This window comes from Homo sapiens, chromosome 5 (genome assembly GCF_000001405.40).
Source record: "Homo sapiens chromosome 5, GRCh38.p14 Primary Assembly".
In the NCBI taxonomy this organism is placed as follows: Eukaryota; Metazoa; Chordata; class Mammalia; order Primates; family Hominidae; genus Homo; species Homo sapiens.
The window spans coordinates 133108103-133134207 of record NC_000005.10 but is presented as its reverse complement, the minus strand read 5'-3'; the positions used below and the strand labels follow the sequence as shown (position 1 = coordinate 133134207).

Below are 26105 nucleotides of genomic sequence, written 5' to 3'. Positions count from 1 at the left end.
CCATTCAGGACATAGGCATGGGCAAGGACTTCATGTCTAAAACACCAAAAGCAATGGCAACAAAAGCCAAAATTGACAAATGGGATCTAATTAAACTAAAGAGCTTCTGCCCAGCAAAAGAAACCACCATCAGAGTGAACAGCCAGCCTACAGAATGGGAGAACATTTTTGCAACCTACTCATCTGACAAAGGGCTAATATCCAGAATCTACAATTAACTCAAACAAATTTACAAGAAAAAAACAAACAACCCCATCAAAAAGTGGGCAAAGGACATGAACAGACACTTCTCAAAAGAAGACATTTATGCAGCCAAAAAACACATGAAAAAATGCTCATCATCACTGGCCTCAGAGAAATGCAAATCAAAACCACAATGAGATACCATCTCACACCAGTTAGAATGGCAATCATTAAAAAGTCAGGAAACAACAGGTGCTGGAGAGGATGTGGAGAAATAGGAACACTTTTACACTGTTGGTGGGACTGTAAACTAGTTCAACCATTGTGGAAGTCAGTGTGGCGATTCCTCAGGGATCTAGAACTGGAAATACCATTTGACCCAGCCATCCCATTACTGGGTATATACCCAAAGGACTATAAATCATGCTGCTATAAAGACACATGCACACGTATGTTTATTGCGGCACTATTCACAATAGCAAAGACTTGGAACCAACCTAAATGTCCATCTATGATAGACTGGATTAAGAAAATGTGGCACATATACACCATGGAATACTATGCAACCATAAAAAATGATGAGTTCATGTCCTTTGTAGGGACATGGATGAAGCTGGAAACCATCATTCTCAGCAAACTATCGCAAGAACAAAAAACCAAAGACCGCATGTTCTCACTCATAGGTGGGAATTGAACAATGAGAACACATGGACAAAGGAAGGGGAACATCACACACCGGGAACTGTTTTGGGGTGGGGGGAGCAGGGAGGGATAGCATTAGGAGATATACCTAATGCTAAATGACGAGTTAATGGGTGCAGCACACCAACATGGCACATGTATACATATGTAACAAACCTGCACATTCTGCACATGTACCCTAAAACTTAAAGTATAATAATAAATAAATAAATAAATAAAATGTAACCATTAAAAATGAGACTAAAATCATTTCTACTTATTCATTCATAAGATTGTATTTCTATAAAATTCAAGGTCATTTAATCTAAAAAACTATCAGAATTACTAAGAATAGAGTTCAGTACTATGGTTATAAATAAATATGTGAAACTAGCTGGCAAGGATGTGGTAAAACATATAGACCCATATGCTGTTCATAAGAATTTGAGTTGGTACAACCACTTTGAAGATAATTTGGCAATATGCATCAAGAGTCTTAAAACGTTCATACAAAAAAAGTTAATACCCCTTGTGGCAGATACTATTACTTTCCCAAGAGCTGCTCGTTCCTGCTAACAGAACCTAGCAGCTGAGGCTAGGCACAGTGGCTTATACCTGTAATCCCAACACTTTGGGAGGCCAAGGCGGGAGGATCACTTGAGGCCAAATGTCAGAGACAAGCCTAGGCAACATAGGGAGAACTCATCTCTATAAAAATAGAAAATGGAAATAGCCAGGCATGATGGCATGTGCCTGTAGTCCCAGCTACTAAGGAGGCTAAGTCAGGAGGATCACTTGAGGCCAGGAGTTTGAGGTTGCAATGACCTATGATCACACCACTGCACTCCAGCCTGGGTGGCAATGTCCCCAGCCTTGATGCAACCAGGGTAGTCCCGTTATCTTTGCCAGAGATAGGTCTAGGAGTGGGTACTTGACTTAGACCATTACAAGAAAGTCTGTTGGAGACTTCTTTTTCCCTTTTGAGACAGAGTCTCGCTTTGTCGTCCAGGCTGGAGTGCAGTGGTGCGATCTCGGCTCCCTGCAACCTCCACCTCCTGGATTCAAGTGATTCTCCTGCCTCAGCCTCCAGAGTAGCTGGGATTACAGGTGTGCGCCACCATGCCTGGCTACCACATATACATATACATATATATATTCATACACACACACACACACACACACACACACACACACACATATATATATTTTTTTTTTTAGTAGAGACAGGGTTTCACCATGTTGCCCAAGCTGGTCTCAAACTCCTGGGCTCAAATGATTCTCCCACCTCAGCCTCCCAAAGTGCTGGGATTACAGGCATGAGCCACTGTGCCCGGCCCTGCTGGAGACTTTGATTCCTGGAAAGGGAGAGCTCTTAAGAATAAATCCCCTTTGCTCCCATACCTTCCTTTCCTCCTTGGACACTCTGTCAACACATTGGAAGAGAGAAAGCACCTGAGCTTTTAACAATATCACTGAGCCATTGCTCCAGCCTGTATAGTTTTTCCTCTAAACTTACATCTGAACACATAGTAGGTATCTACCATTCATAGACAACTGGCATCTTTTTAATAACCGCTTGATATTTTGGCAGTCTCATGTGTCCTACCTTCCTGTACTACAAAGCCAAAGCCCACTTATCAGACATCCTCACTCTACACTGAGGACATGTGTCCCGGGTTCTGCCAATCAGACCCAACCATATGGATGGAAGGGGAGATGAATTGACAGCCATGTGCAAGCAGCTCAGTCTTCTAGTAGTATGCTGTTGGAGAAAACTGGTCCTTTTAGAGAATCTATGGCAGAGCTTCTGAAGACCAGCCCTGGGGTCATTTGTGCCAGTCAGCAGGCCGCAGCAGCACCGATATTTCACTGGAAAGTCCCATAATGGGGCAGAGCACTGATCCTAGCAACATCATTCCTTGCTGTCATATCCCAACCTGGTTCTTTGCACCCATCCCCCAAAGTGGCTAAGTATCTTCTATAAAGACTCCTTTCTCCTTAAACATCAAGGTCTAGAGAAAGTGGATTCTCTCATTTGCAAATAAAAACTCTAACCTATAATTCCACCTCTGGCAATCTATTTCAAAGAAAATAATCCAAAACCTAGATAGAGGCCTATGCATAAGGATGACTACTGTTGTTTTACCTGCAATAGTAGAAACAAAATTAAAACCTGTCCCACAATGAGATTCTTATTAAGTAATTTGTAATAAAGTCACTTAAAGTCTCTATTATAAAATGTTTGTAATAACATGGAAAACTGCTCAGACAATAGTGCAAAATCCTATGTCGTCTGATTAGCCACATTAATAGCAACAGGAGCCCCATAAGCATTTCCCCCACTTGGGTGATGGATTTGTCACATAAGTGCCTCCTGCGGGAAACACCTTAAAGGGATGACTCACCCAGCCCATGGGTCATCCCATTGTCCTGAAAACTGCCTTCCCACACCACAAGTGTGGGTCACGGCAGCCATGTGTGCACCTCAGAAGCACATCTCCCTGGCCAGAGGTGACAGGACCTATTACCTGGGAAGATTACCTGCCCCAAGGTGGGTCAGTGAGAATCTTCTCCAGGTAGACTCAGTTATTAACTTCCTCGTGGGACTGGAACTGAGAGCCAAGCAAAGCTCAAAGAGTGTGGGGGTGGCCATCTTCCCCGTTATGGCCAGAGAAAGCTGGTCTACAGAGAAAAAAGAGGGGAGGAGAGAGAAGAGAGGAAGTGGAAGGGGGGAGGGAGAGAGAAGAATCGAAGGGAGGAGAGGGAGGGAGCAAGGGAGGAAGTGAGGAAATTGACAACTTTCCAGGTTCTAGTCTCCGCCCATTCCCGAGCTCCAGCTTCCTTCCTGGTCTCAGGCTCTGAAATCAACTCCTATGTCTTTATAATAATTTTTGCCATGAACTAGTATAAGTGGGCTTCTGTTACTCAAGGACAATTTTCTAACACATTTCTAAAGGTGAAATCTCAGGATGGCAGGAGCACTCTGAGGGCACCTCATTCAGCATCCCTGACTTCTCTCCACCTCAGCCTTCATCTTTCAGAGGCTGCCACTCATAGCTCAGTCTGCACATCCAAAAGCTAGAATTACCCCAGGCACGTTTGGCCAAAACTGCTTGGCGGGCTCCCTTCATCATACTGATCAGGGTGAGAAACCAGAAGAGAACAGGAATGAGCCAGAGTCTAAATCATCTGCAGAAGGATGGGCTTGCCTTTGCTGGAAGGAAAACAAAAGTTTGGAGCTGGAAGTTGTTTAAATGGTCTTGGCCAGAGCCAGAGAGAAGAAAGCCAGCCCAGAGATTGAGCATTTTGAAGAGAAAGCAGAGAGCTCAGCAGTTGCTAGAAAATCCAGGCATCAGGGAAATAAACGGGTAAGAGAGAACATTTAGGAAATTTGCCAAATAACTCCCCATTGGCAACCCCCCTAAGGAAACCTTCAGCAACTCTGTTCATGACCCTCACAAGGCTTCTAGGGCCTTGTGCATTTCCTTTAGATGCATAATTGTACTGAGATTGTATTAATAAAAGGAGGTCCAGTTTTCTTTCAATTATACAGTAGGGAAAGTGATTTATTTGCTACTTAGGGTATTGAGGATGATATTTGGTGGTTTTTAATCTTAAAAATAAGAGGAAAGGGAGCTAGAGGAAGGTTTGGACATCTCCTGAGAAAAGTACTGCCGGCAACTACACATTCAGACTACTCCCCAGCATGCAGAACAAGCTGTGGTGTGCAGAAGGGCTCCAGCCGTCCTTCTGCACCATTTGCAGTGGAACCTCTCCAGGAAGCTTGTTCGAAATGTAATTCAATTAATGGTGATGAGTTGACTGCTGATCACAAAGATTAAAGCCTTTGCGGATGCAGAAAATTCAGGCGCCCCCACCCACTGTCCTGGGCAGTGATGCAGCCTCACTAGCTGACAATGAATGACTACTCTCTCCTCTGTACTGTTAGGATCCCTGTCACTAGAGAGGCTACGAGCTTCCCATTCAGCACCCACTCCTGCCACCTCCAGAGAAACCACTCAAATCCAGAAATACCAAGGCAGTACTTTGTTCTGAGACTCAGGCTTTCCATGTGGCCTTCTAGGACATGAAAAAGGAGAATGGGCTACAGAGAAAGGACTTTCTGGAAGGTCATAGTCATGTCTGTACATGTGAAGGCAGTTATTATACTCCGACAAGCATCAGGAATAGGGTTGTAAAAAGAAATCTCTATCTTCTCTCCCCTATCCTATTCATTCAGAATCCTTCGGGTCTCTTTCTATTCTCTCTTCCTCTCTCACACTCTTGACTCCTTGATTATTTGGAGAATCCTATGATGTTTGTATAAAACAATGATTGTCATAAAGAATTTCCCAGACAGTCTAACAAACACATCATCTGCACCCTCATACACATGTCCCAGCCTGCCAACCTGCTCTCCAACCCTCAAAATGACAGAGGTGGCCCACCAGGAAGCTAACAGTTCTAATTAGGGAGAGAGACTTGACTAGCACAGCCATAGCAATGAGAACTCTCCAGAGAATCCAATGAAAGCCTGGAGAAGCTCCAGACATGTCTGAGCAAAACAAAAAGAGTTAGGGAAAGGTGCTGCACACTGGGCAGAAGAGGTAAAATGTCCACAACAAACCTTGACCAATGCTTGCTTGTGTTGGGATGAGCCCCTTCATTCTTTTTCCATCCTCCATCAACCCACCATTCAATTATCTAGCTGCCTAATCATCCATCTTCCTTTTACCCATTCCATCTATTTATCCATCCATCCATCCATCTCCCTTTCATCTATCCACCCCCAGATTCAACACCCTCTATCTCCATCTACCCCTTCATTCATTCATCTTTTCACCCAGCCACCCAACTGTCCATCTCTCTGAGCCTTATCCAGCCACCATTCATCCAGCTGCACTGTCTTTAGTCTCTATGTTTCATTTGTGTCCTTAAAAAACCATCCTGCCACCATCCACCTATCCATCCAGTCAGCCTACTGTATGAAGGATCTGTGCCAGGTTTTGTGGCTATAGGAATGAATATGAGCTGCTCCCCATCCAGAGAGACCTCTGTCTAATGAATAGGAGCCTTTATGAATAATGGCCATGCAGTAACCTCCTCTGTAGGCCTGAATATGTTCTCTGTCTGGGATCCTCAACACTTTCTGGTTATCCCAGCCCCATCACTGCCTGGCCCAGAGACAGTTTCCCAGAAGGCTCAGAAAGCAGAAGAGGGGAACAACCACCCATGTGGGGCTGCTATTAACTGAATGCGCAGCTTCCCAGAGCAGCTGCCACTCAAGTGGCCAGTCTAGGCAGGAGAAAGTCCTCTTTGGAGATGCAAAGAGCTCTTCATCTACAATGCTTCCTCCCTTCAGCCTCTAGACCAGCACTGTCCAATTGAAATATAGTGCAAATCACATTTAATTTTAAATTTTCTAGTAGCCATGTTAAAAAGTAAAAAGAAACAGGTGAAATTATAATACTATATTTTATATATATTTCATTTCACTCAACCCAATATATCTAAAATATTATTTCACCATGTACTCAGCTTATATTTTTTGTACAAAGTCATCAAAATCCAGTGTGTATCTTTATGCTTACAGCATATCTTAATTCAGTCCAGGCACATTCCACATGCTCAATAGCCACATGTGGCTAGTGGCTACCACACTGGCCAGTGCGGTTCTAGACCCTACCACCATTATTTTAAGTCCAGACCAAGACATGAGGCCACCCTAACCATGTGGGACCTTTTCGAATTGACATTTGCTAACTATTTGCTTAGCAGCTACTCAGAAGAACAGCCAAGCACCATGGCAAGGACAGAAAGCAAAGGGTACTGAAGATGACTCACAGGACCTCCACTGTCCTGAGCAAATAAGGCCTAGCCCCAAATTTGCACACCCCTCTCAGCAAAGCCCAGGCCCCATGGTTGCCAGGCTGGCCTCCTCCAACCATTCTAGTCACCCTCTGTGTACTGAACTTTGCCCCTCAGAAGGCTATCCCCCTCCCTAGAAGCCCCTCAAGTTCATCTGTTCCAGCCACTTGCAGAGAGAGCTGTTCTGTCACCGCAGTCTTCTTCCACTTCTCACACGATCCAGGCAGTGTTAGCTCCTCTCAGCAGTGAGGCTCCAGGACACCACCCAGCCAGCCTGCCTCTTCACTAGCTTCACCACTGCTCAGGTGGAGCTCCTCTCTCAGGCAAACCTTTTCTTCCCCAGGACCAGCAGAGAAGGCAGGGAAAACACAGAGATACCTATCCCTGGGACAGAGACTGCCTCATTCTGTGTACCTGGGGCTCCTGTGACTTCATCGGACTCTCACAGCAGCCAACAGGCAGGGAAGAGGCGGGTTACTGTCACATTCTAGGGATGAGAAAACTGAGGCTCAAAGGGGCTGAGTGATTTACCCAAAGACACATAGGGTATCAGTAAAAGTGATGCAGTAGATGAGGTCCCAGGTTGCCCACTGCCCACTCTGTGCCCATTTCCTCTCTCTCTTTCCCACAGGCAGCCCCTCTAGATATGGAATTAGGCTGAAGAAATGGGTCTCAGATGGGTTCCTCCAAAATCCCAAAAACTATTCCATCCTGAAGACAGGCCCATGAGGAGGAGCCCAGTCTGAGTTATCATTCAAGACCCCTCACCATTGGGTCCCACCCTCCTCCCACTCTCTCCCCCTCAAAGAGCACCCTCTGGAAACTGCACCTGCCCACTGCCTTCAACAACAGCAGGACTTCACACCTCTGCACCCTTGCCCATGATGTCCCTTCTGCCTGGACTGTCCTTCCTTCCCTTCCCTTCTCTGCTTGGAATAGTTCTTACAGCCTTCAAGGCTCAGCCAGACCCTTAGCTCAGTGAAGCATTCCCTGAGAGCCCCAGGCAGAATGATCGCTGGCCCACATTCTGTCCTATGAACAACATATTTGGTGGTACTCAAGTCTCACTGCTCTTCCACACTCTGAGCTCTGCAGAGGACAGATGTGGAAACTATTACCCCAGCAGTGTCCAACAGGCACATAGTAGAGACTCAGAAAATGTGTATTAAATAGCCATGTGGGGCCAGGCATGGTGGCTCATGCCTGTAATCCCAGCACTTTGGGAGGCCGAGGCGGGCAGATCATCTGAGGTCAGGAGTTCAAGACCAGCCTGGCTAATGTGGTGAAACACCATCTCTACTAATAAAAAAAAATTAGCCAGGCATGGTGGCAGGCGCCTGTAATCCTAGCTACTCAGGAGGCTGAGCAGGAGAATCACTTGAACCCAGGAGGCGGAGGTTGCAGTGAGCCAAGATCTCACCATTGCACTCCAGCCTGGGCAACAGAGCGAGACTCCGTCTCAAAAAAATTAAAAAAAAATAAACAGCCATGTGGTCACTATGGCAGCACATTTACTAAAATGTCAGCTGGAAAGCTCGTGATGCGCAAATAGCCTGCATCATGAGAGGGCTGGCTGTGCTCCAGCCTCCTTCCATTTCTCTGGACTCCCATGTGACTGCGGACATAGCTAAATTTGACTCCCAGCCTTGGTGCAGCAATGCCATTGGGAAACTCCTGCATATATTTACACATGCAGGGATCCTTTTCAAGTGATTCTCCATTGGGATCCAATTTCCATCTTTAATCCACTGTCTCCTTTGCTGCAGAATTCCCATGAATCTCTAGCATCCTCCACAAACACCCTCACGCTCCAAGTGACATCCCTTGGTTCTGTATGGGGGATATCAAATGTCACAGGTAATTTAATTTGCTCAAGAGAATATTGGGAGATTATTTATCTGTGTTCTCTAGAAAATGAGGGCTGTAGTAGATCTCGCTGATTATATTACCCCACTGAGAGGCAGAAATAATCCTGAAGATGGCAAGTTAAATCACTACTTTGTAATTTACTAAAACAAAACTAATATCCAAAGAAATGTTTTCTCTCCCATTTTATAGCAATTTCCCCATTAAAATGTCTTTGATTGCAATTCATAACGATGAATAAAGCAAAGCAAAAAGGATATCTTCAGCCGGCCAAGAAACTTCTTCTGAACACTAATGATTTTTCCCATAAGCAAAACACTGGGCATCATTTCCAGAGAAGCCACAGCCCACCCAAAAGGGTGAGTGGGAGTGAACAGGGTCACACTGCATAAGGAAACTGTTCCCCTCATCATTCCTGTTGCCCAAAGGAAGCCCCAAGTCCTCTTGGCTGAGTCTGAGGCCTGGATGTGTGTGTTCTTTCTCGTCGTTACCCACACACGCACCCCACCCTTCTTGCTCAATTAACTCAAGGTCATCTTTCAGGTTCTCAGCTTAAACATGCCTTCCCATGGTGCAAGACTCCCTGCCCATGTACATTTTCCTCACAGCACTTGTCAGTTTACAGCAATGCTTTCATATGTGTGGTTATTAAGTGTCTGTCCCCAGTAGAGTCCAGGAGCCATAGCATCTATTTTGCTCATCATTCACCTTCGGTAAAAACTTATTGTATAAATAAACAATGAACAAGGACAAGATCAGGGTCTTAATGTCATAGGTCAAGCAGCCTTTCTCAGAGGCAGCACATGCTCTCCCTAAGACAGCCTGTCTTAAGTCAGTCCCCAGTGGCCCAAGACTGACCCTTGTCACCAACCCTTCATTTATAACTCCCTTGAGTGAGACTGGATGCCTGTGATGGTTGATTTTAGGTATCTGCTTGACTGATTAAGGGATAGTCAGATGGTAAAGCATTATTTCTGGGTATGTGAGGATGTTTCCGTAAGAGATTGGCATTTGAATCAATGGACCCAATAAGGAAGATCCGCCCTCACCCAATGTGGGCAGGCACCATCCAAATGACTGAGGGCCTGGAGAGAACAAAAAGGCAGAGGAAAGAGGAGCTCACCCTCTTTCCCCACTGGAACTGGGACATCTGTCTTCTCCTGCCCTTCGACATCAGAACTCCAGTCTCTCCGGTCTTCTGACTCTGGAACTTGCACCAGTGGCCTGCCAGTTTCTCAGGCCTTGGACCTCAGGCTGAGAGTTGCACCATCAGCTCCCCTGGTCTGAGGTTTTCAGATTCGGACTGAGCCATGCTACCAGCATTCCAGAGTCTCCAGCTTGCAGACAGCCTGGAGTGGGACTTCTCAGCCTCCATAATCATGTGAGCCAATCCCCCTAATAAATTCCCTCCCACATTTCTTTCTTCTTTCTCTTTCTCTCTCTCTCCCTTCCTTATCTCCTACTGGTTCTGTCTTTCTGGAGAATCCTAATACAATAGCTCAGGGCCACTTATCCGTATCCTCAGGGACGTACATCCCAGCACTCTCCCAGACACAGTCTTGAGGCCCCTCTAAGGAACACCAGTGACCATAGGACAATTAGCATTAGGCATTTCTCTAAGAAATCTGGGGTCCGCTAAACCAGAATCACCTACCCACCCATGGGCAGCTCCATCTTCCCTTACCTGTCCCCACCCATACATGCAGCCTTCATCTTACAGGCCCCTCAACATTCTTCAGAGAAAAATATCATCCCTAAACAACCCCCTAAAGCCTAAAGCATATGGAGAGATGTTTCAGGGTGACCCTGGCTGGGCTCATGAATGGCAGGCTTCACAGCCTGGAATGACAGCCCCCAGGTATCCACCTGCTGAGACACTGAGGCCTCTCCCAGGAGAGGACTTGTCCTGAGACAAAAAGGGCCAGGCACGATGAACTGGACCCAGAGACAAACCTGGCAGTAAGAGAGGAGGCATGGCCAGCTCTGTCCCTGGTGATTCAACCTGGGTGCAAGAAAGAAGAGAGCTAGAAATTGAAACCTGAGAGCCTCTCTCATGCAAACACTGCAGTGCTAAAGGACCCCAAACACCTGACTACAGGACCGCACAGCTGAGTCAAACACAAATAAGGAAGAGGTACCTTTCTACTTCTGCATGAGCTCAGGGCCACATGGGTAAACCTGAAGTACTCTAGAAAGTGGCTCCAGGGAGAGATGACAGTGCCCTTCAGAACAGGAGCCAGAGTCAGCAGGGCCCATGGGACCTGACAGTGCCCAGCAGACAGGACCTGGAGCAAGGAGAAAGAACACAACTGAGATACCACCATGGTCCCCATCTCAGCCTGCCCGTGAACATACAAGGGAATCATAAAATGTTGGGGGAGAGTGTGCTGGGCACTGGCTCCCGATGGGGCTGAGTGTCAGGGAACAGATGTGAATATGTTGAGCCAGGATAGGGTTTAGACCCCTGGTTACTTTAAAAATTTTGTAAAATCAAAATGGCCCCCAGAGACACAGGCCTTCCAAATCTAAGTCCAGAGAGACAGGTTTGTGGATCATTATTAAGCTGCTGAGAAAAGGTATAAACCAGTAGAATATTAAACATAAATCAAACAAATGAAGCTGCAGTCCCATTAGTAATGAGGAGGCTTGGACGTGGGCCAGCAGCCCCTAAGTCTTATGGACACTGAGTTCAGAGTGGGGGAGAAGAGACAGGGAAGGGTGAGGGCCTGAGCGCCACTCCCCTGGGCTCCTAACGCAGCTCTCCCCAAACCCTCTGCCAGTGGACCTCAAGCTAAAGAAGGCAGAAATGGGAGTCTTGTTCACAGCAGGTAGTGAGTACATGTTTGTGGAGTGAATGCGGTGTTCTAGTAGTTGCATGCTCTGACACTTCAGCCAAGTGGGGAGATAGGAAGAGGGGGAGAAGATAGAAGGGGAGCGAGGAAGTGGGAGAGGGGCAAGCCCCTCCCCTCCAATAAATTGTTACTTGGCCAGGCTGATCTCCTGACGAAGCAGTCAATGATGGTAGATGGGATTTTCCTGATTTGGAATTTGGATTGAATCCCAAAACTCAGGACACTGGGAGGAAAGTCCCACTCTAAAAAGAGCACCTAGGCAACCTGAGCAGAACTTACTAAGATGTGGCCAAGTGGGCCCTTCATCTAGCCACCCTGTCACCCCTCCTGCCTGTAGAAGAGAGGCTGGAGGAGACACTCTCCAGCCTTTTTAACACTTACGTTATGAAAAGGGAATTCTTAGGAAGGGGCAGAGTATTGCGGAGTGTCCCTTCCCAGAGGGGACAAGAAAAGGGGTGCAGCTCCCACACCTATGTGGGGCTTGAGTGCCACTCGTGACGGGCAGGGGTGCCACCAAGAGGGGAGACTCCAGTTCACCTGCCTAGATGGTTTCCGAACTGTGGAATTCTAAGTCCTGGTGCTGCCGCAGGCCTAAAAGTATGGCAGATGCAGAGGGGAGAGGAGATAATAAGACAAATGTCTATTTCCACACAAGACTGAGGCTCTCAGAGGTCACATGAAGTGTCCAAGATGAGGTAAGCAAAGTGGGCTCAGCCACCTGTCTCCCTGCTGCTCAGGAGGCAGACGCCAACACCTCCGAGTGTTCTCCCGCTCAGTGGGCCAGGCACACCCTGAGGGCCACACTGCCAGCCCCTTCTCCCATTCGCCCCTCAGGAAAACTGGACACGGGCCCATCTTCCAAAGCACTTGCCATCCTTGCCCCAAAGGCCCCTCTCTACTCATCTCCCAGGGCCAAAGGACCAGGCTGGGCTGCAGTGGACACCAGGGGCAAAGTCCAGGCCATTGTGCAGACCCCCATGGGAATCCGAGCACCAGAAGGCAGAGCCAACAGTCCCCAGCACTCCCCACCCTGCACACCGGGGCGGATAGCCTTTTATGGCAGATAGCCTTTGTGAAGGGCAAGGGAAGGCCAGGCTGACTTCTGCCCCCTGCCCCATTTCACCTCCACCACTGTGACCAAGACGCTCCTGCTACAGCAGAGCTCGGTGCCAAGCCTGAGTGGGAAGGAGGGACACCCTTTTGTTTTATAAATCATTTTTCTGAGGGAAAGCATAAAATTGAACCAGAGTATTTGAGTCAAAATAATTTGAAATGTTTTGACCCAGGGCTGTCAGTGTGGAATGAACAAAGTTCAAGCCCCAGAACAAGCCTCTCTGCACCTAAGGCCAGGCTCTGCTATTCACTGTGATCACCTTGGCACCATTGGTTTATTCAGTGAGCATTTACTGAGCACCCTTGATATCCTGGAGTACAGCAATAAACCGGTTAGATGTGGTTCCTCCTAGAATTTATAGTCCAGCAGCTGCAATACCAGTAACGAAGTATAGACTGTGATAATAATAGCTCTTATTTCCTGAGCACTGACTCTGCAGCAAGCATGATTCTCAGCATTTCACATGGATTAACTCACCTAGTCCTTTAAGGGAAAGTCCTGTTATTATCTCCACTTTATGTATGAGGCACAGAGGGAGTAAGTAGCTTGTCCAAGGTCACACAGCCAGTGAACGGGGAGATCAAGAACAGCCACCCCAGGTGTGTCTAGGTCTAAGGCCTTCCTCTCAATCCCCTCACTCTGCACCTTTTGTGATAAGACCTGTAAAGGAAACGGGGTGATAGAAAAGAGCGATTGGTGAGGCCATTCTTGCAGAGGGAAATCAAGGAAAGCCTCTCTGGGAAGAAACAGAGACCTGAAGGAAGTGAGGAAGGGAGGCAGGACAGTGTGTGTGGGGAGGCTTCCAGGGAGTAGAAACTGCTACACAAAGCCCCTGACTCAGAACCAATCATGGGCACATTCAAGGAATAAAAGGCAGGCTCGGGGAGCCGGAGTCCAGGGGAGAAGGAAGACAGTGGGTCAGGGTGAGGCCAGACCCAGATCTCCTTGGTGAAGAGGGAGGGTTTGATTCAAAGCACACCAGAAGCCACTGGGGAGCATGCTCCGATTCACTTGGGTAGAAGGTGGGCTGGGGCAGGACCTCAGACACCGAGTCACTGTTCCTCACCTACTGATGAGGCCCTGGCCTGTTCCAAGGCCTTTGAGATCACACAAGACAAAGTCTTATTGCTGGTGGAAAACAGAGGCCTGGTGCACTTTCCTGGGCTGTAACAGGAAGAAGCTGGCGCCTCTCAGGGTAGTCACTCCCAGGGGTGCCCAAAGGCCGAAGGCAGCACTGCATTCACCCTGGGGTGGGGGGGGGACACGCAGGTTTATTTCTTGGGTGAGACCAGAGCTCTAGCTGCCAGTGAGAATGCCTCTGAATCCAACTGGCAGACAACGTGGCACAAGCTCTCTGCCAAGCTGGCCTCTCCTGCCACTAATTTCCTATTTGGGGCAAAAAAATATCGTTTCCCTCCTGGACCTGCAAGGACCTGAATGCAAATTACACCAGCTTCTGGTTGTGCCTTGAGACTCAAGGCTTCCCTGGGCAGTTTGGAGTTGGGGGCGAGAGGATACATGGATACATGCTGATCCCAGGGAAACTGTGGGTGAATTTTTTGGCCTCAGGGGATCCTCACCTCTCATGCCAAACACTGAAAGGGTTTGCCCCCACACACCCCCCACGTAGCTGGACACTGGGCCAGGGCATGTTGGGCTGGAGAAGCAGGCTCAAAAAAAAAAAAAAAAAAGTTCCTTTGAATGTGAATAATACTATTAATAACAACAAAACTTATATTTACTGAGACAGTTTCATTTAATCTTCACAATAACCCTATGAGATAGGTCATATTTTTACGCTCACTTTACAGAGGAGGACATGGAGCCCCAGAGGTGGTAACTTCCCCAAGGTCACACAGACGGTAGAGGCAGGATTTGAACCAGGCCTCATGAGACTCAAGAGGCTGTGTTCTTTATGCCTCACCAAGAAGCCCGGATTAGGTTTATCTCCCACTGAATGCCAACGCCTCATGTAACCTGATGAACAAGAACAGCTAACACTGATTTAGGGCTTAGTAGGTGACAGGTGTGGCACTAAGCATTTGCCACGCATTAGCTTGCTCAATCTTCACAGGTGGATTCTATTATTACCCCCCAGTTCACAAATGAAGACGCTGAGGTTTAGAGAGGTTAATTAGAGGCTCCAGGGCTGGGTCACAGGGGAGTGGGGATTCAGGCTCAGGGCTGTCTGAGCTACACAGCCAGGCTGTGTGTTTGTTGCTGGGATCCCATTACCCTCAGGTGCTCTGGGGCAGACTGGGACTCCTCATCACCCCACCCAGGGAGGCCAGTTTGGAGCTTTTGGTCATGAACAGGAAAGCTGAGCCTGTCTCTGGCCCAGGCTGAGAGCAGCCATCCTGGGACATGCACCTCCCAGAGAAATTGCTCCAGCTTCAGCTCTTCCAGGCAGGCCAGCCAGCCAGGCTGTGCCAAGGCCAATAAACCCAAAAGAGAGGCTCCAAGCCAGGCAATCCCTCCACACAAACCCTGATGTTCATGCCTGCAGACCAATTGGTTTCCCACTATCCTCCTGTCCTGTGAGTGACCCAACATACAAATAAGGAAGTAAATTGGGCCAGACCCTACCCCCAGCCCTCCTTAAGAAGAACCACCCACCCATGGGAGTCCCCTGCAGCCAACCACAGCCCACACTAGGCCTTGCTCAGCACCCCCAAAGGAGTGGAGGCAGAGTGGTGGGCCGGCAGGTGGACAAGATGTCAGGCAAAGGGCTGCGGATGCACCAGGACCACCTAAGGGCTAGAATGAGGCCTGCAGAGCTAGCAGGGGCCAGGCAGTGCAGGGACACCGCCCACTCTCCCAGCCCTGACACGGAGGTACAGTCAGCAACTTCCCCCTCCTGATAGGCCCACACCTGGAAGCCACATGGAACTGTGGGTGAAGCAGCTCTGTTGGCTCCCCAGGGCCCCCCAGTGCTCCTGCAGACAACCATCTCCTTCTCCAGCTATTTAGTTCCGCCTTCTCCTTTCACTTCCCTGGTACTAATATCCCACCTGCCAGGTCTCTCCGTGTGCCCAGACAGTGCTGAGCCCTCACACGTGTTCATGTTAATCTCCACAATCACCTCAGGAAATAGGAGTATTATCTCCATTTTTACAGATATGGAAACGGAGGCACAGAAAACATAAACGCTTTGCCCGTCATTACCGAGCTTACGTGTGGTGAAGCCAGGATGAGACCACCTTTGTCCCATCGCACAGCTCTGTGCCCAAATCTCCCAAGACCGGCCCCCAGGGCAGGTCAGGCTGTGGGAACAAACCTCCTTCCCAGGAAGCTGCACCTTCTAGCTTCTCTCCCTCTCCCTCCTGCCCCAGGGGCTTCTTGAGAAGTAGAGGCTCCCTGGGTTAGAAGCTCTTGACTGCCCAGGAAAGCACTGATGCAGAGGCCCTAACTCAGACACTTCAAGCTCCCTGGCTACAGTGCGGCGGCATCAGCCTCCCCAAATGTTGTTTACTAATAAATCCCCGAGAATTTATAATAAAGTTGATGGGGCCTAACTGATGGGCCTAGGACAAAAGGGAGCCAATTACCCAACACTCTCTGCTACAATCTTAAAACAGATGTTTGAGCGTGTAAAATTATGGCTTGTGGTTGGGAACTGCAGATACGATTCCAACCTTCCCTTTTACTGCCACTCATAAATGTTAAATGCGATGAGCTCTACATCTGAAATTCAGTTGTTGCCATTTTGTCCCACGTTTCTGAAGCCAAGGCTACATTTTAGAGTTGATGTCCTCATAATTTACTCAACTCCTGTGAACAACATGCAGAAAAGAACCTTGCACGACACACAGCAGAGGACAGACATGCAGCAGAGCCCAGGCCACCCGGGGCTCAGCCCTGACCACCCGGGTCCTGGGAGGAGAGGTAGAGGGGGTCGCCAGCCCCTGTCTTTCAGAATTTACAGGTCAAGCGATGCAAACCTGGACCAGCAGGCAAGGCCCCTCCCATCCCTCCAGAACCCAGATCAGCCTGATTCTTGGCACGTATATACAGGCCAAGTAGGAGGGTGGGTTCATGCACATTTGGATGTGATTTGCCTACAGGTTCTCTGGAACTTTCCCAGGACTCCCATAGTGGAGGCTCCAGGAAGCCAGTCATGCAACCAGTTCTGCTCCCAAGCCTCCTTACACAACTGCCCATTGAGGAACTGGGGAGACACAGAGGTAGGGAGAACAGCGAAGAGTCTGCCCCAACAATTCTCAACGCAGTTCCTTGGCATTCTTCCTCAAGCCCAGAGCCCTTCCTGGCAGGCCAGCTGCTGTGCCTGCTCCAAGGGCGATCCTAGAAACCCTCAGCCAACACGGCCCTGCCTGAGCATGTGTGCCCTGGAAGTCCCCAAGAAACCCACAGGCAAAGGGGGCTGTAATGGTTTCTGTCCCCTTAAAAAAGATATGTTGAAGTCCTAACCTCCAGCACCTCAGAATATCCCCTTATTTGGAAATAAGGTCTTTAGAGTTAAGTTAAAATGAGGTCATTAGGGTGGGCCCTAATCTAATCTGGCGTCCTTATGAAAAGGGGATATTTATACACAGGGACCTGCAGAGAGGGAAGACTATGTGAAGAGACACTGGGAGATGGCTCTCCATGAGCCAAGGAATGCCTGGGACTACCAGAAGCCAGGAGGGAAGTGTGAAGCCAATTCTCTCACAGCCCTGAGAAGGAACCAGCCCTGCTGGCCTCTTGATCTTAGACTTCCAGCCTCCAGAATTGTGAGAGAACAAACTTTTGTTGTTTAAGCTGCCTAGGCTGTAGTACTTTTTTATGACAGCCCTGCGAAACCAGTACACTCACTATCACTGGGCCATCTGGCACTGACAACACAGCTTTGCACTTGGCCCATTGCAGATTCAGGGCAGAGGCGCATCCACCCTAACATGAGGCTCCACCTCCAGGGCCCAGGAGGGGCCCTAACAAAGTATCCACATGATTCCATGGTTTTGGTGTAGTGTAAACTGGGCCATTTTAACACAAATAGAGCTAAAGAAAAGGGAAGTTTACTCACCATCAGCTCTGCCTATGAAAGAAGAAAAAGGCCCAAGAAAACAGCATGAAGGGGACATCCCCAGAACCTCTAAAGAAACCCTTTAACACACTGCCTAGCTTGTCCCCCAAGGGCCCAGTGTGAAAGGGAGGTAGGGATGTCAATCCACGTTTTCACCAGGAGGAGAAAATGACCAATGATAGCACATGTAGGTCCACTAGGAACAAAGCGGGCGCTAAGTAGAAGACACACAAGGGACTGGCCTGAAAGAGCAGCGTCCGTGTGTACTTTTTTTTTTTTTTTTCTTCTCCTGAGATGGAGTCTCACTCTGTTGCCCAGACTGGAGTGCAGTGGCATGATCTCAGCTAACTACAACCTCTACCTCCCAGATTCAAGCAATTCTCATGCCTTAGCCTATGAGTAGCCTACGAGCAACTGGGATACAGGTGCGCATCACAACTCCATTTTTGCATTTTTAGTAGAGATGAGGTTTCACCATGTTGGCCAGGCTGTTCTCGAACTCCTGACCTCAAGTGATCCAACCGCCTCAGCCTCCCAAAGTACTGGGATTACAGGTGTGAGCCACCGCCCCTGGCCCCATGTGTCCTTCCTAAGAACTGTAGCCCTGCTATTGGGCCCTGACCCTGCTGGACTGTATCCTCTGCCACCCGGGAGGGACCTATTCTTCTTTCCCACTTGCTTCAGAGAAAAAGTGAGGTCACACATTATCTGGGAACTGCCTTGATCACTGCTATTATAAATGGGGGCCAACCCTTCCAGGGGCAGCTCAGCCACAGAGCTATTTTACAACAGAATGTGAGACATTAGAGAGGCTAGTTGAACGAGGATAACAGCCAGCATGTCTTATAGTGAGCACTCCCAGAGCCCACTGGGGTCTGAGCCCCCTAGTTCTGCCCTCATCCCAAACCACTTGCATCCTCACAAAAGCCTCTCTTCCTGTAAACCCACCCAGTCCTTCCCCTTCACCCTCAACTCCCTGTCCCTTGAGGGCCAGGCATTGGAGGAGAAGGGCTGTGTCCTAGCTTTAAAACTCACCATGGCTGTCTAGGCGTGGTGGCTTATGCCTGGAATCCCAGTTACTCAGAATGCTGAGGCAGGAAGATCACTTAGAGCCCAGGAGTTTGAGGATGCATTGAGCTATGATCATGTCACTGTCCTTTAGCCTGGGCAAAAGAGTGAGACCCTACCTCTAAAACCAAACAAAAACTCAACATGGTTTACCAATACCCTAAGGAAAAAATCAAGGCCCTTTGTCTAGGTACAAATGAAGCCCTCATTTGTCTCAATATGAAAGATACAAGTGTTCTGAGCCCCAGGAATTCCCTCCATCCAATATTTCAGGCCTCCCTGAGATGTTGCTTACATGGATGACTTGGCTGCTGTCTAACAAGGGGCACCAGGCATCAGCAGGTTCCATAGCCAGGCCCCAGAGCCACAAGCAGCCCCCAAGATGTGCTACACCTGCTGAACTTCCTGACCCACTCTCCTGCCTATTCAAGCATGCCACACTTAGGCAGCAGTGCCCCCCAGCAAGGGTGCCTGGGCCTAAGGCATTGTGACTCAGGGGCCAGCTCTCTCCATGCCCACACCCAGATGCCTTCAAGCTGCAGGGGCTGGGGTAAGGATGCCCTCCTCCCTCCTGTATCATGAGGCCAGATTCCTCCCCGCCAGGGACCCTTTGCCCTTTCCTAGAATCTGACTTTGCTTGTCACCACCCCATCTCTGATGGTGTCTATCATCTTGAATATCACAAGGCTCCCTTTTCAAGAGCAGCATCCTCCTAACCCCTATATCAAGCAGTGACTGCAAAAAGAAGGCGGGGGAGCCTTTTATGTGACCTCACCCACTGACAGCATCTGTGCTGCAGGCCCCAGCTAGCATCTTGTCAGCCTTATCTCTCTCCTTTCTCTGCCCTGAGCTTTCTACTCCAACTACTGGTCACTCCCTGCATGTCTGTGGTCCAGCTGTCCCCTTTGCCTCCAGCTCCCTCACCAAACCCTCTCTCTACTCACTTATGCAACCGACATGCACTCATCCTTTACCCCCGCACCGCTCCTGGCTACCACCTCAGGCTGCTCCCTAGCTCCTTGTACTTCTCTTATTGCTACCTTGCACGTTGATTATTAATTATCTATTTACCTGTAGGCCCCGCTAGACGAAGAGCTGACCGCTCAGAGAATGGTTACGAAAGGGACAAACAAGCCAACAAACGAAGTCCAGTCTCCCCATTTGTTGTAACCGCCGGGTCCCCTTTGGTTGCCATGGCACTTGAGGCCAGAAAGTCCTCAGCTCCCAGGTGAAGTCCTCCACCAGCTGCCCATTCCTGGGGGTGGATGCCGTGACAGCCACGCCAGATTGTCAGGTGATACTTATTTTGTAAACTCAAATTAACAGGAAGCAATTTCATTAACAGATAGTGCTGCTTGAGGAGCTCCAATTTAGGGCTTATTTTTAGTGTCCTTAAAAGCTGTGTGGAGCAAGCTGAAGCGCTGGATCTGATTTAATGGAAATTGACTGACATGCATGTCTCACTCGGGTACATCGGAGACCCTGAGGCCTTTCCCTTGGGCTGTGAAGGCCCCTCCAAGCCACAGAGCCATTCTCCACTTTGAGGACAGGGGTGGAGAGGGGCAGACAGGGGTGCAGCTTGGCTTGTGGGTACCATTAGAGAAGGGACCTTAACCTGGCAAACATCTCCTCCACCCTGGGGAAGCTTTCCACCTGGCCAGGAAAAAGACACACGTGGATAAAGAAGTCACAGACGTGCCAACTACTCAGCGAGGCCAGGGAGCCAGGAGCATCATGGAGATAAGCCAGCCGCCCGGAGAAGAGCTGCTCCACACACTAGCACTGGCCACAACCAAGCTAGGGCCAAGTCACATAGCCCACAAGACACAATGTCCTGTGTTCAGAAACAGTTCCAGAGAGATACCAAACTTTCTTTGGCATTTCTTCAGAAACGCTTGTGCCTCTCCCTCTCCTCCTACTCCTCACCATTGTACTCAGCCTCGCTCTTTCCACCTCCCGCCCACAACCTCCATCACCCGCAGCTGTTTGTGATGTGAATCAGCAGCCCCAGTTATTTCTCCTTTACCCGTCACCCGGACTCTCTATCCACAGAACAAAAGCAGCAGGCTCACCTGGGAGCTTGTTAGAAATGAAACTCCAGGACCCCACTGAAGACCTATGGAATCTGAAACTTGGAGGGCGGGCCCAGTCATCTGTGTAACCAGGCCCCCAGGGGATTCAGATGCACACTCGAGCCACTGCTTTACCTCAAAGGAGAGCCTGGGAGCTGGTCCACAAGGAGATTCCTCCCACCCTTTCTCCTCCACCTCTCCTGTGTTGTCTCTTCTGCCCATTTTCCAGATTGGGCATTATAGAAATCTGCAAAATAAGATGACCAAGACCGAACTTGTAGACAGTGATGAATGCCAAGGGGCAATCCTCTTTGAAGGAAGGGGGGAACCCTCATACACCAAGAAATCTTGTCTTTTTTTTTTTTTTTGAGACAGAGTCTCGCTTTGTCGCCCAGGTTGGAGTACAGTGGTGCAATCATGGCTCACTGCAACCTCTGCCTCCCAGGTTCAAGCAATTCTCATGCCTCAGCCTCCCAAGTAGCTGGGATTACAGGCACCCGCCACCACACCAGGGTAATTTTTGTATTTTTAGTAGAGACGGAGTTTCACCATGTTGGCCAGGCTGGTCTCAAACCCCTGACCTCAGGCAATCCACCTGCCTCAGCCTCCCAAAGTGCTGGGATTATAGCATGAGCCACCACACCCGGCCTTCTTGTCTCTTTTATGCCATGCATATTTGGCCTCTCCACCACAAGTTAGGCAAGGAAATAAAACTGGGCCTCAGGAGCCTCACACGGAGCCCAGGCATTCTGAAGCTCTTCCTCACTTTTCTACAGCAGATGTCCAGGATTCAGAGGCAAATCGCTGCTTTCTAGGAGTCTCTACCCACAGCTACAGAACTCCACCTTGAACAGGGGTCAGTGTGTTGTTCCTGCTCCTTGCTGAAGCTACTAATAGGATCACACGAGGCTGAGTCCATTGGACTGGCTCAAGTCAAAAGGAAAGAGGGACCTCCGTTCCTCCATCCAGGTGGGATGGATTCACGTGTCACCCCAGGGGCAGGAAGCAGCACTCCCTCCCCATCCGGGGACTATGACCATGTCACACGGGAGGGCGGTACATCTTTGGTTCTTAGGTTGACTTTCTACCTTGTTCCTCTGGAGCCTGGGCTCCTGGTGGGGTAAGGACAAGAAAGGCCAGGAGGCTATGGTAACTCGGACTACTTATGTCTGGGTCAGCTACTCTGCACTTTAAAGGGCAAGTTGCACACCTGTTGTGAGCAATACCTTTGTTCTTCCTGTCTTCAGTGCCTTCCGCATGCATCATCTCACATGCCGGACAGGCCTGGTGTTACCCCCGTTTTACAGGCGAAGGAACTGAGGCTCCTATAGGTTGTCTTTCTCAGTCAAAGCACAGTCCATGATAGGCATCTCCTGGGAACTTGATAGAAATGGACTCTTCGCCGGGCATGGTGGCTCACACCTGTAATCCCAGCCCTTTGGGAGGCCAAGGCAGGTGTATCACGAGGTCAGGAATTCAAGACCAGCCTGGCCAAGATGGTGAAACCCCATCCCTACTAAAACTACAAAAATTAGCCGGGCGTGGTGGCAGGCACCTGTAATCCCAGCTACTTGGTAGCCTGAGGCAGGAGAATCGCTTGAACCCGGGCAGCAGAGGTTGCAGTGAGCTGAGCTCGCGCCACTGCACTCCAGCCTGGGTGACAGAGTGAGACTCCATCAAAAAAAAAAAAGAAAGAAAGAAAAGAAAAAAAATGGACTCTTCAGCCCCACTCTGACCTGCTGAATCAGAATCTGCATTTTAGCAAGATCCCCAGGTATACTGAGAAGCACTGGGCTGGGATCTACCTGAGGTCTGGGAGCAGTCCAAGATTCTTCTTTTTAACAGTGATGTCATACTTTGGGTGGTAAGGACCTAAGAGATTAGTAGCAAAAGGCCTACTTTCTTGCTTGAGCCCCTGCTTGCTAGCTTGAGGACTCTGTTAAACCATACTTATTTTGCTTTTAGCTACCCAGAAGGAGAGGAGGTGGCCGTCTGTGTTCTCCAAACTTCTGGGACTCCTCAAGGAGTGAAGTCTGATCTACGCACGGAACCAACCACCACGGCAAAGGAAGAGCGATGGCGCCCCCATGTGGCAACACAAGCACTGCGATTTCACACAAGACCAAATCAGAATTGGCCGGAGGGGAACGTCAGATTCTTAGGGAGTGTTACTCCAACTAATGCTACACTCAGGGCGACTTCTTGGAAGGCAAAAGCCCCATAGTCTAGCCATACAACTTTCCAGAAAAGTAGCACTCTTCAAAACAGCTGGCATTAAAATTCTTGGCTCTGCCATCCACCCGTTCTGTGAGACTCTTTCCTCATCCCCAAAAATGGAAGGTCTGATGACTTCAAAAAGAGTTTTACCGTTTTTCCCCTCATTGAAAATAATAGAAAACAGTAAAATACTGCATTTCTGCCTTCAAGTATTCACTGAGCGCCTTCTCCATTCCCTGCTTCTTGCCGGGCTGCACGGAGGCAGCTGTAACCCAGGCAGAGTCCCTCCTTCAGTTGTGGGATGTAGAAGACAAGGACAGGACCAGTCACAGAGGAAAGACCTTCACTCATGCTGCGGCCTCCTTTACCACTGCATGGGCCCTTTCAACTTTCCTAACCCAGACAGCTCACCGGCTCCTCATGGCAGCCTTACACGGGTCCTACAAAGCTCCCCACTGGCACTCCTGAAAGGTACCCTATAACTGGAACCATCCTTTTGTGGAATATATACTGACCCAGCTCATCCTTAGAAATCCTTTGCTGGGATTTACATCCTGGAAGCTGGGCCACTGACTGGTCTTCCAAGACCATCTGTTTCCAGCTTTCTCTTCTGCAAGCATTAGCTGAGTCTAATTTAAATAATAGATATTTTAAAATACATTTTAAAGTTCATGTAGAAAAAAAAATGGGAGACCTCCAGTATGTGGTGAGTAAAGGTCTGCTTACTTGTGATAAAGTACTTGCAGTGCTTTCTCTCCCTCAACTGATCCAGGACTCCAAATCTAATAGTCCATCTCGCCCTTGAAGGATGTAAACCCAGACACACTAGTGAACAGGCCCGATAAAAACACAGCTTTCTGTAGTCTTTTCTGTGTTGTGTTTGAAGCTGGCGAATGCCACTTACGAAGGGAGAGTAAAGAGTCTCTACTCACCCTGTCCTAATGACGTGTGCTGAAACTGGAGGAATAAGGTCAGGATTAGCCTGGCACTTGCCCATGGATATTGAGCAAATCTGGAAAGCATTCTGTATTTTTTTAAATACTCTGAGGTCTTTCCTTCCCTGATCCTCCAGAAATTTACACCCTCCTTTATCTTTCCAGATGTGTTGCTTGTACCTCAACTTGGCCATTTTCCCTATTTGCCTCCTAGACTGATGCTTAAGAAGTCACCTCTTTAGTTTCTACACTTCTTGCAATATCTGCTCAAAATAGCAGTTCACAAAAACAGTGGCATTCCAGGTTAGAGGGTCATGGCCCAGGGCTGCCCCAGCCAAAGCCAAGTACATCCAAGGAATGTACTGGCAACTCCAAGATTCCCAATGGTCTCAAGTAAGTGGTGGGAACCATCCCCATTTACACACAGGACACTGCCCAACCTCCTTTCTCGCAGACTGATGCCTCATTTCAGAGGCCAAGCTTCTTTTTTTTTTTTTTTTTTTGCTTTTTTTTTTTTATTTTTTTTTTTTATTTTTTTTTTTTTAATTTATTTTTTTATTGATAATTCTTGGGTGTTTCTCACAGAGGGGGATTTGGCAGGGTCATGGGACAATAGTGGAGGGAAGGTCAGCAGATAAACAAGTGAACAAAGGTCTCTGGTTTTCCTAGGCAGAGGACCCTGCGGCCTTCCGCAGTGTTTGTGTCCCTGATTACTTGAGATTAGGGATTGGTGATGACTCTTAACGAGCATGCTGCCTTCAAGCATCTGTTTAACAAAGCACATCTTGCACCGCCCTTAATCCATTTAACCCTGAGTGGACACAGCACATGTTTCAGAGAGCACAGGGTTGGGGGTAAGGTCACAGATCAACAGGATCCCAAGGCAGAGGAATTTTTCTTAGTGCAGAACAAAATGAAAAGTCTCCCATGTCTGCTTCTTTCTACACAGACACGGCAACCATCCGATTTCTCAATCTTTTCCCCACCTTTCCCGCCTTTCTATTCCACAAAGCCGCCATTGTCATCCTGGCCCGTTCTCAATGAGCTGTTGGGCACACCTCCCAGACGGGGTGGTGGCCGGGCAGAGGGGCTCCTCACTTCCCAGTAGGGGCGGCCGGGCAGAGGCGCCCCTCACCTCCCGGACAGGGCGGCTGGCTGGGCGGGGGGGCTGACCCCCCCACCTCCCTCCCGGACGGGGCGGCTGGCCGGGCAGAGGGGCTCCTCACTTCCCAGTAGGGGCGGCCGGGCAGAGGCGCCCCTCACCTCCCGGACAGGGCGGCTGGCTGGGCGGGGGGGCTGACCCCCCCACCTCCCTCCCGGACGGGGCGGCTGGCCGGGCAGAGGGGCTCCTCACTTCCCAGTAGGGGCGGCCGGGCAGAGGCGCCCCTCACCTCCCGGACAGGGCAGCTGGCTGGGCGGGGGGGCTGACCCCCCCCACCTCCCTCCCGGACGGGGCGGCTGGCCGGGCGGGGGGCCGACCCCCCCACCTCCCTCCCGGACGGGGCGGCTGAGGCCAAGCTTCTTGACCAAGTACTCAGCACCTGCAGCCTCACCTCAAGCCCCTTCACCCCACCCAGCTCCCACCCTACTGAAGCATCTAACCCTGCTGGCCACTGCCACATCTCACATCTCTAGCTCCCTTCCTCCCAACATGCTTTATGCATCATAACTCCTCTCTGGCAGTTCCTTCTTTCAAAGCTTTTACTTCCTCTTCCTAACACATCTCAACACAAGCCTTCATCCCGTCAATGAGGAACACGACTCCAGCCCCAAAAGCTTCCATCCACACCCACCTGGAGCTTCGATGTCTCAACCCCACCCAGGAAAACTTCTCAATCTAAACTCCCACCACATCTCCAATGACTCAAGACTAGAAGCTCCACATGTACAATCATATCCCGTATTCTAGGTTTGAAACCTTGGAGCCATTCTTCTTAAAACACACTTCTAGTTTTCTTAACATTATAAAATTCCTAAATGCTTTTATTAGTGACAGGAGGCGGTGGGGGGTAGGGGCTTGTCTCCCCATGTTGCCCAGGCTGGTCTTGAACTCCTGGACCCAAGAGATCCTCCCACTTTGGCTGGGATTACAGGCATGAGCCACCATGCCTGGCCCTAAATGCTTATTGTAGCAAACTCTGAAAACAGAAACAAGCAAAAATAAACAATCACCCACAATCCCACCCTAAAAACCACTTCATCTGGGAAAATCCTTCTGGCTTTTTT

General features: G+C 49.2%; 1 long non-coding RNA gene across 1 annotated transcript, besides 1 other annotated feature; it reads left to right on the top strand.

Moving 5' to 3' along the window:
• The first annotated feature begins 9722 nt into the window (after positions 1–9722).
• LOC105379178 (uncharacterized) lies at positions 9723–23140 on the top strand. The gene is made up of 3 exons (XR_948792.2): positions 9723–9979; positions 19733–19949; positions 22693–23140. It is a non-coding gene; the product is annotated as an uncharacterized LOC105379178 (long non-coding RNA).
• Positions 25642–25691: an enhancer, noted in NCBI's record as "active region_23101". NCBI's record gives its function as "activates an Ori minimal core promoter by ATAC-STARR-seq in GM12878 lymphoblastoid cells {active_cell/tissue: GM12878}" and the evidence as "EXISTENCE:reporter gene assay evidence [ECO:0000049][PMID:35858748]".